Consider the following 11,449-nt stretch of genomic DNA (forward strand, 5'->3'; position numbering starts at 1 on the left):
AATTTCAAGCACTTTTCTATTTTAAGCATCATTATGTTTGAGGGAAAATAGTCCCAAATGTGTTAAACTAATTCTTCTTAGCAACTTTCTAACAGTCCCCAAATTTATTCAAATTAAGTAGCAAATTGAGACATCCTAGAGCAGATATACATTCAGTTTTAAATTGCTGCCTTTATATTTTACATATCATTGAATTTTCAAATAATACAATTAGCAAAAGTGCAAAAATATAAGTGAATTGAATTTAAACTGTGAAGCTAGAGGGATGGAAGTTTTTAATCACTAGATGTTCCATAGCATAACTGAATCAAGTTGTTTATGATAATTTTATTACCTCAAACCTCTTTTTTATAGAGTTATTACATTTTCTCATGATGTATGATATCACACTTTCAAAGCCCTTTCAGTAATTGGAGCTCCATGAAACTGGCTTCTAAGGCTCATTAATGTGAAAAATTATCTTAAAAGTTAAGTAAATGTAGTTTCACTTTGTTTTAGAACTACCAACTATGAAAGATATTTTCTATATCTTTGACAGTATTTCTAATTAAAGGTCCCTCTTTTTTGTCAACATTGTATCTTCATGAAGTTCATTTACATTAAACCTATTTGTAACAGGATAGATTTAATTTTTCAAACTAAAAATGTGAAAGTGTTCATTTAATCCAAATTGTAAAATTTGTTTCAGAAACCTGACAGCAGGGATATTATCCTTGACTGCTGTTTAGAATCACCTAGGAAATTTGGAGAGAAAATAATTTATATATGGCTGGGCCTGCCCCAGAATATTTAAATCAAAAACCCTAGACGTGGGAGTAGGTATTCGTATATTTTAAATGCTCCCCCAGGGATGTGCAGTCAGGACTAAACTGCCAGCCTAGAGTAACTTCTTATCTCCTTGGTGCAACAGTCTCTGTTGCATTTTACCATTCCCATCCCGATGCCTGCTCCACCACAATGCCCTCTACTTCTGTTTCTAACAGTTTTTCAAAATGCTTCTGAAATAGCTAGCTTTATTTTCTCTTCCTTTGTAACAGTTCTGTAGAGTTGGCAGCACATGTATTATCCCATTTGAAAGCCTTGATTTGACCAAGGGAGCACAAACAATAAGTGATAGGGCAAGAATAAGGATTCAGGCATTCTTATATCAAGTCTAGTGCACTTCCTGCTGTACCACACCGCCTTCCATGCTTGGAACCCAATGTTTGACTTTAATCACTCCTTGTCTGCACACAAAACTATAGTTTGATATTATCCAAAGAAAATGCAAAGAGGGGCCGGGTGCGCTGGCTCATGCCTGTTATCCCAGCACTTTGGGAGGCCGAGGTGAGCGCATCACCTGAGGTCAGGAGTTTGAGACCAGCCTGACCAACATGGTGAAACCCCATCTCTACTAAAAATACAAAATTAGCCAGGCGTGGAGGTGCATGCCTATTATCCCAGCTACTCAGGGGGCTGAGGCAGGAGAATTGCTTGAACCCAGGAGGCGGAGGCTGTGGTAAGCTGAGATGGCCCCATTGCACTCCAGCCTGGGCAACAAGAGCAAAACTCCATCTCAAAAAAACGAAACAAAACAAAACAAAACACAAAGGGGAAAGAAAGGCGACTCATGTTGCGTGTAGTTGAGGCCCACTGACTACCTGTATTCAGCCCATGATAATTCCTTCAAGGGCTTTGGCAAGACCTTCAATGTTTAATTATAGACATTTTATCCTACTAAAGATGAGTCATTTTAATAAACAATCAATTCACTAGCTTTTAGCCAATTATCATTTAGTTGAAGAATAGCAGCTAAAATTATGCTCTACTCTGTTTTTCTCTGTTACTTTGCCCCCTTATTTCCAAACTCCTCTTCCCTAATTAAAACAATTTCCAACTCTGACAGCTCTGGCCCCCACATCTAGAAAGAAAAACAAGAACCTTTACATTCCTGGCAACATATTTTAAATGTATGTAATTAAAGCAGTAAAATTAAAGAAAAAAACATATAAGAAGTGTTTTCAGAGCAAAGTACCTTGACTTCAAGATCTGCTAACACAGAATTACATTAATTGTTCAGTGATTTTGATTTTCATAAATCAATCCAAAATCTCAACATGTTTTCCTCAACAACAGATTTATATTATTTTGCTTGAATAATCCAAATAATTGTTTAAACTGCCTATTTCTCTTTATTTCTGTATAAAAGTCATCCATAACAATATCTCAATAGTGTAACTAACTCAAGAGATTTTTAGGGATTAAAAAACAAATCATATTTTAATTTGAAAAAAATTACATGATAAAGAAGTCTTACAGATTAATTCTCATTTATTGGCTAGTGGTAAGCTAAAAAATGAACATCCCCGGCCATCCAAACATAGCAGAAAGGGGGTGAAAAATTTCCTACAAGCACTACATAAATTAGTGTGGAGTACCAATGAAGAGTAGATATCACGTGCCTAGTTCCAGTGCTTCTTTATGTTGCCTTTGTTTCCTCATCATCTATGATACAGGGATAATAAAAGTTTTTGCCACACAGAGTTGCTGTGAAGATTAAATGAAGTCGTGTATAAAAGCCTTGTAACTGCCTGACACACTGAACAAGGGCTACCTACCTAAGTGTAGGTAGGACTCGTATTATCAGATTGTCGGCATTTGGCATTTTTAATATTTCTTTCCTAATTCTTGCTCTCTCCAAGGTTGCTTCACAGCCAGAACTTTTGTTTTCAAACTCTGAATTCATTATAGGTACATAAACTTACATTGAAGAGCGACTATACTGGTTCATATAGCCAATATTTAAGAGTCCCAAAAGTGGACGATGATTTAAATGAAAGAAACCTCATTTATTGGAATGACTGGATTCGTCGGACCGATGTGCAGAGCATTGCTCCACTGAAGATAAGGTGATTCCTAAGATGTCCCCAATGATTTCAGAACTCCTTACCCTAAGCACACAGACATACACTCATACTCTATTCCATGCCATACAACACACAACAGAAAACACACATGCACACATACATACACACCTCATACACCAGGCAACACGCACACACATACATACACCACCACTACCACATACACACACTGCCAAAAACTTTTGTAGCAATAAGAAGGGAAAAGGCTGAAACTGGAACACATAGGCTGTGGCAAAATTTTAACAACATCTCTACTGATTTAGATTTATACTTCTTCAGCCAATATTAAACACTCTTCAAGACACATTCTTTCATTTGATACTGACTTCAATCTGTGTCTTCCCTCTTCAGAATTCCAGAACTCTTTGACCCTATAATAAGGCCTTCTGACCTCCAGCCTCCTGGACAGAGACTTTTGACCATCCATAAAAAAACTTGTGAATGACTTGATGGTTATGAATGCTATCTTAAATGCTTTACAAACATTATTGAATTTAATCTTCACAATTAACCTTTTGAGGACTATTTAGTGAATGAAGTGAGTTTTGAACTCAGGCTGACTTAGATTGTACAAGCCCACATTTCTACTCCTGCCTCAGCCTCCCAAGTAGCTTTGACTACAGGCATGTGTATCACCATGGCCCAGCTAATTTTTGTATTTTTGCAGACATGAGGTTTCGACATGTTGCCCAGGATGGTCTTGAACTCCTGGGCTCAAGCACCCTCCAGCCTCAGCCTCCCAAAGTGCTGGGGTTATGGGCATGAACCACCATGCCTGGCTTAAAACAACAGATCTCTTAAACATGACTTGAGTTATTCCAAATTAACCCACTAAATAGTGGGAATAGAATTTCATGCTTTGGGACAGAAAACAACTTGATACTTTGTACCCAAACACATAACTCATTTAAATCCTATAATATCCGTTTCTTCCAAGCAGAATGAAATTCTATCAGTTGTAGCTCATATCTTCTTTTATTACATGAGATGAATAAAATAGATTTGTACATTTTTAGGGATTTAAAGTCTAGCAATAGAATTATAGTCTTTATACCTTTTGACAATGACCCTGATACTGCATAAATGTCACCAGTGAATGAAAACTAATTATAGTTCTTCCAGGCTAAAAAGCAGCAGCTGAATACCACTAATTATGCAATGAAGCTAACAATACAACTAAAAACACTGGCAATAAATGTATTCACAGGGAAGACAAATAAAGAATAAATGCAGCAAATCAACCATTGTAGAAAAAAATGGCAAATGCTGAAATATTTCCACATTACACAAAAATTTTAAATAATCATTTAAAGTATTCATTTTGTTATTATACAATGATTACTTCTATCTCAGCACAAAAGTAATTTTCATAGCTGACACATACCCCCAAATGCCCAAATGCCTCTTTAACACACATTGATAATTGCGAGTTTAGAATTAATGGAGATACGCCTAGGCTCAGATGGCAAACAGCTAGAGTTGACATCCAGTTATGCCAATAATCATAGACCAGTTTCTAAGATCACAGTTATCTAAATGATTGAGAAGGAAAAAAATGAGATTTTGTTTGGATTTGGGAGAAATAATTGCAATTCAACTTTGTTAACCTGGCCAAGTTATTCTTCCACACAGACTTCTATTCTAGTCAAATTAGATGCTACATAAAATCCTAAGGATTCAATTGGGACCATATGCCAATTTTATCCTTAATATGGTCTGATTCAGGAGGGACTAAGTGGAGAAAAAGAAATATTGTTAATTTGAATATAAACCTATCATAGCTGGGTATCTATTTGAAGAGTGCCATAGGGATCATTGCCGTTGTCAGGGAGCATTTGCCCCAGAGTGAGTGTGGGATGAGAAATGTGAATCTGCTCTTACCCCAACCTGGGCTCAGTTTTCCTGTGTCTCTTGAGCATCTCACTTGTTATGGACTGTTTAAGGGACTTTCAAGGGTAATTTGGTAAATTTAACTTCGTGTGATTTTTGCCTTACATGCCCTTTTTAGAATCTAATTGTAAGGAGATTATTAAAACTGAAGGTGAGTTTCTCTATAATAATGTATATTTTATGTAAAGAGGCTGAGGATTTTAATACAGTCTTAATAGTTTGAGCTTGGGGTAAGTACTAAGCTCTGTAGAAAGAAATTTGCATATGTTTGTAATATTTTAGTGGAGGAATAGATAGAAATGCTGAAACTAATATCAGCATAAGAGACAGCAAACTAAGTGCTAGGCCTAACTCTGAAATTAATTATATGTGACCCTGAAAAGTCACTTATAGTTTATTTACCTTACAAAATAAGGAAGTGGGAAAGAAAGAAACAAAAGAAAAAGTGAGGTTGGAAGAACCCAGCACCTTATTTATGTCACTAGGAGTAAACAGGTTCTTCTTATTCCAAAACCTGAATAATAAAGAGCTACCTCCAAACACAGTGCGGGGTCATGGCAGACCCTTAATGGACAAGCATAAAACAGTCATGACTCCATAGACTGGGAAGATCAAAATCTCTTGGACTTTATGCAGAGGGAAGTGGGGCTTAGAAAGAGCATAAAATTATGAAAACAATTAGCTACAAAAATGAGTGTGTGTTTTGAATAAGTAAAGCTATTAAAATAAGTTACAAAGTTTAAAAGTTCTTGAAGGACAAACTAAAGATCAACTTTGAAAATAAAATAAGACCATTACTTTGCTTGCAAGGCAAAGGAGAGCCTAATAAAGCAAGAAACAAATTCCGAGGGACTCTCAGAGCTGAACAGCAAAAGAAATATCTTCTATATTGGGGGGAATTCCTAGACAACAAGTTCTGATTGGTTAAGGACAGCATGGCAAAGTCCTTAGAACTGATCATTGTACCCTCCATTACAAGACACCTAGTACAGTTTCAAAGATGCCAGGCATCTGTGTTAGGCACAGGGTCACATGGGAGGAACTTCCACATACTTACACTTAGGAGTTGGTAAAACTTTCCTATAACAATACAAATAGCCTTGGTTGTCTTTCATATGACAATTATTTTGTAACATAAATTCTAAAATCAATATTTTCTCAATTTTATTTTATAATTAAAATCAATGATATGGATCAGTTGCACAATAATATGAATAGACTTAACACTACTGGACTGTACACTTAAAAATAGTTAAGATCATCAATTTTATGTTATGTATTTTTAGCACAATTAAATTTTAAAAAAATTTTTAATAAGCAACAATAATTTAGAAAAGTTTCTTTCAGCTTCACTATTCATTATTGGTAATGTACCTTTTTAGGATTGTTGCGAAATTGGGCCAAACTGCTATATAAGTGAAGCTCTTTTGAGTTTGGCTGTGCAATAAAACACATAATAATAATAATAATAATAATAATAATAATAATAATCTTAAACACTCCAGATTGTTGACTCTTTTTAACTAGTTTGATGTTGATGGTCTCACTGTAGCTGTGCATAAGTTTGATTTTATTTCCATCTATGTCAATATTTATGTCAAAATGCCAAGAAATCTAAATCTTTTTCAATGTTTTCATATGCTTCATTCCTCTTCATTAACTGGATTATCAAAAATCTAAAACCCTATTTATTATCTCTACCCAAAATGTATCTCTTCCCATAAATCAATTACTGCTTTGGATATGATTAAATATCATACTTTATTATTTTTTGTTGTTGTTGTTGAGATAGAGTCTTACTCTGTAGCCCATGCTGGAATGCAGTGGCTTGATCTTGGCTCACTGCAGCCTCCGTCTCCCAGGCTCACAGGCTCAAGTGATTCTCATGTCTCAGCCTCCCGGGCATGCACCACCATGCCTGGCTAATTTTTTTTTTTTTTTTGTATTTTAGTAGAGACAGGGTTTTACCATGTTGCCAGGGTGGTCTCAAACTGCTGAGCTCAGGCAATCTGCCCACCTTGGCCTCCCAAAATGCTGGGATTACAGACCTGAGCCACAGCACCCATCCAATTTTTTTTTAATATTCCACCTTTTTCTGAATATACTCTTAGTTCCCTAAAATTTAAATCTAATGATGATGAAAGAAGAGTTTATTGAATCATTACAGAACATTTTTCCAAAATGCATTTCAAATGGAGTATTTGATCTTTATAAATAATTTTGAACAAAGTTTTTTTTTTTTAATCTACGTAGTGTTTTGTTTTCTCTTTCAAGTGTCCTTATGTCATTAAAAACAAGTTGCAAGGCATGAACCACTTTAAAGTTCAAATCATCCCATTACCCACGGCCTCCAAAGACAATCTAAGTTTTCCCTATCCAAGCAAAGAATGAGAAATGCAAAAAAGGACAAAACTGTCCACTGAAGTAGTCCACAGCCTCTAAAACTGTGGAGGTGGCAGTGCAGGGGGAAGAGAGGGAAGCCACCAGATGATGGGGAGTGAATGGCTCTGGCCTCAGATGCCAGCACCTCCCACTGAGCAGAGTTAGCACCAAGATTTGGGAGACAGGAACAGGGTCTTTCTCCCTGATCTTTGCTGCATATAGCACCCTGGGAAAATGACTTTCAAGCAGATACGGCCTTTCAAAGGGAGGTTCCTGAGAAAGGAAGAGACAATTAGCTATAGTTTTTTTAGTACTAAAAGAATTCACCTTAAAAGCTCCCAGTTTCCTGCCTTTTGAGGGTAAGAGTCATCCTGGGATCAGAGCAGTCTCCAAGGCCTCACCAGACCCTTCTCAGCAGATTTCCTTGCTCACTATAATTGAACAATTTATGGAAGTATCTACAAACCAAGTAACTATATCCTGCTAAACCCAAACAAATTGTATCCCAACTCAACTCCCCCTTAGCTGAATGCAAAAATGCCCGTAGCCATTTAAACACCACCCAAGAGGAAGAGAATTTTCAGAGGAGTCAGAGTGAGATGTCAAAAGTTCTTAACCAAATGCAGGCTAATTGGCTTACTTTTGCAAAATAGTTTTAAATGTATGACCATATGAACCCATTCCTAGGGCCCCTTCTGGAGCCCTGAATGGGACCAAGACAAGTGAGTGACCCTGAAACTCAACCTTTGTATTCACAGTAGGACCTCCTGCTTCAGACTCTAAGCTTCCGGAGAACAGGAACTGCATCTTTTCTATTTCACATACCCAACTCCTCACACAATGCATGATGCAAGTGGGAATCTACATAAAATATCTGATGGATAAATGGAGTAGCACTGATGCATATGAGACCCAGTGTTAACCAGAGGAAGCAATCAACTCCAAGATCAACTGCCAAGATAAAAACCAGGACCAAGGAAAGCTTCTGAGATAAAATGATTTTTAAGATTAACGTAGTGGATATTTCCAATTGTTTTTTTTATACCCTTCATCTGACCTCTCCTTCCTAAATGTGAGAGTTAGCCATCAGTTGAGTATTGTGAGAGGTTGTACCCTGCCACTAATTACAGAAACAAAAAAGGCCAGCTACCTGCTTTCCCGGACTCTAGGAGGTAAAGTTAAAAGAACATGAACTAACCTCTGTCAATAAGATACAACCACCAGGGAATTGCATCTGGAGTTAATGATCGAATCCATTCTAGGAATGGCAAGAGCATCTAGCGTCCAATGGCAGAGGGCCAGCCATGGTGTGCTGTCTTGGAGGCATGACGTGGTGGTGGTACCAGGGCCAGAATTTATTCTCTAGAAGCATCTCTCAAGATGAATGGCTGTACAGAAACATGTTTAACCTCTCTTCATTGTCTCCATGACAACATACTCGACTGTTTCTTCCTTGTCTCCTTTGAGCGCATACCAGTGTGTTGTCCTCCTCTCTCTCTGACCATTTATCTGTCACTCCTGAAGGCTCTTTCTGATCTCCCTGGCCTTTAAGTGTTAGATCTTCAAGGTTCATCATTAGGCTCTCTTCTTTCCTCATTCTATAATCATCCACTGTCAATCTCTTCCACCCCTCTCTGCTTTAGTTCCAGCCATCATCATCTCTAGGCAAGACTATCCCAGGAATATCCTTCCTGTCACCCCACATTACCAACTTCCACCCAACCTCTAAAATCCAGTGGCTACATTGAAACCAGAATAACCTTGCCTAATGGCAATCAGATCATCCTCTGTGTAAACCCCTCATTGGATTCCCAGTACCTTGGGATAAATACCAAAATTCTTACCACTTGTGATGGTTAATATTGAGTGTCAAGTAGATTGGATTGAAGGATGCAAAGTATTGTTCCTGGTTGTGTCTGTGAGGATGTTACCAAAGGAGATTAACATTTGAGTCAGTGGAAGACAAAGAGGCAGACTCACCCTCAATCTGGGTGGGCACCATCTAATCAGCTGCCAGCGCAGCTAGGATAAAAGCAGGCAGATGAACGTGGAAGGACCATGACTGGCTGAGTCTTCCAGCCTGCATCTTTCTCTCATGCTGGATGCTTCCTGCCCTTGAACATCAGACTCCAAATTCTTCAGCTTTTTGGACTCTTGGACCTAGAACAGTAGTTTGCCAAGGGCTCTTGGGCCTTCAGCCACAGACTGAAGACTGCACTGTTGACTTCCCTACTTTTGAGGTTCTGGGACTTGGACTGGCTTTCTTGCTTCTCAGCTTGCAGACGACCTATTGTGGGACTTCACCTTGTGATTGTGTGAGTCAACAATAACTCCTTAATAAACTCCCTTTCATACATACATCTATTCTATTACTCTGTACCTCTAGAAAACCCTGACTAATAGACCATGGTGTATAAAATTCTACATAGTCTTGCTTCTGCCTAATTCTCCAAACTCATAATATGATGTTTGTATATTTGATGAACCAACCTAGCTCCTCTACCCTGACCCTCCTTTCATCCAGCTATATCTTTTCATAATTCAAATCTCAGTTCAAGTATAACATCCTTCAGGAAGTTAATATTTCCCAACTGTCCCACTCTCCCCATGCTCGAAACCTGGAAGCTGTCATTGACTCTTCATTTCCTCAATTCTTTATTTCATCATCTGGTCTCATCATTCTTCCTTGATAATTTTCACCTGCATCTTCACTTTATATTCATACTGTCAACATGCTAGTGCAAACATCATGCTTTCAGAAATAAATTTTTATAATTGCTTTCTGCATGCTTGAGGCTGTCCATCTCACTGGGCATCCCACATACTCCTGCAAAATTTAGAATAGATCCAAAAAATAAAGTAAAATATTCATAATATTATAAGCTTATAGTGATAAGTATAAGGGAACTCATCAGAGTTCTTGAGTATACTAAAAGTCAGCTTCTCAACCCAATCATCTTAGTTCATCAGTCTGCAATCAATGTAGCTAAATAACTTCATTGCCCAAATGTTTCCAATATAAATGACAACTTTTTCTAGAAAAGTGTAATTATTTTCTAATTAGCATAACCTGTGACTCTCATCTCTTCTCCTTTTTTCAAATTGCTCTCACTTTTTAGAATGTCCTCATCTTCTTTTGACTGTAAAAATGCAATCCATCTACATGTGGAGCCTCACTCAGCCCAATTTGTTCATAACTTTCAAACGAGAGAAAAATTGTAAATGAAAGTGATGCCATTTCTTACTATCTACCACCAAGGGGCAGGATGGCAGAGGTTAAGATCAAGAAATATTCAATGCATTGGAAAACATTATAAAATCTGCTCTATTTCTACTACTTTTCATAATACTCTCTCCTTTACTCCTAATTTTTAACACAAAACATTTTCTAAATGTAGCCCATAACTCTCAACTAATCCCCCCATCCTCTCTACTTAAAATATGTCTGCCTTTCCCCTGATAGAGATACGTAATAGGTCATTCTTTTTATTTTATGATTCTGCTTAACTGGATCAATATACTCTTTGTCTACACCTCCAACACACAAGCCATAAATAAATGCACAGCAAAGTCATCCTTAGGAACAAAGACTTCAGTAAGATCACAAGTTTCAGAGTTTTATCCTCAGCATCTCTGTCCTATTCAAATAATCTTGTATGTCCACAGTTATCACTCTCTGGTTTAATTGATGCATCCGTGAAACTTACTGAGATAGAGTAAGATTTCTTCCATACTCAAATGGGATGAAAACAAATGCCTGTTCTTATGCTATCTAAAAGCAAAGATTCCAGCTTTTAAAGAAGTACTCATGAGACCAGGGTGTGGTACAGGAAAGCATTTAATTTGCTGAGGGAATGAGGAGATGAACAATATAGTAGTTATACCACTTACATAGTCTTTTTTTCCCTCCAGCATTTCATTATTAAATTTTCAAACCTACGGAGAAGTTGAAAGAATTGTATAGTATTCACCTACATACTTACTGCCTAGAATGTATTTTGGTTTTGTATTTTTAGAGTTGTTTTTATCATTTTCTATCCATTAATCTGGCTTAATTGGGGATGCATCTAAAAGTAGGTTGTATTAGAGATACCAATGCCCATCACCCTAAAACCCTTCAATACAACTTTTATTTTGGTTTTTGTGACATTAACAATTTATTATCTGTGAAATACACAAATCAGAAGTGTACCACTTGAGAAGTTGTGAGAATGCATGCAACCCAGCAACTAAACCACTGTCCATCACCCCAGCAAGCTTCCTCTTGCTGCTTC

At 37.2% G+C, this 11,449-nt stretch overlaps 1 long non-coding RNA gene across 1 annotated transcript in view; it reads left to right on the forward strand.

The window, feature by feature from the left end:
• Window positions 1-8,230, forward strand: part of LINC00499 (long intergenic non-protein coding RNA 499) — a 114,634-nt gene extending 106,404 nt beyond the window's left edge. Inside the window, exon 3 of the long non-coding RNA NR_051987.1 lies at window positions 7,934-8,230. This is a non-coding gene — a long non-coding RNA (long intergenic non-protein coding RNA 499). The remainder of the gene's footprint in view (window positions 1-7,933) is intronic.
• Window positions 8,231-11,449: the final 3,219 nt, after the last annotated feature.

The sequence above is a fragment of the Homo sapiens genome, chromosome 4 (assembly GCF_000001405.40).
Source record: "Homo sapiens chromosome 4, GRCh38.p14 Primary Assembly".
In the NCBI taxonomy this organism is placed as follows: Eukaryota; Metazoa; Chordata; class Mammalia; order Primates; family Hominidae; genus Homo; species Homo sapiens.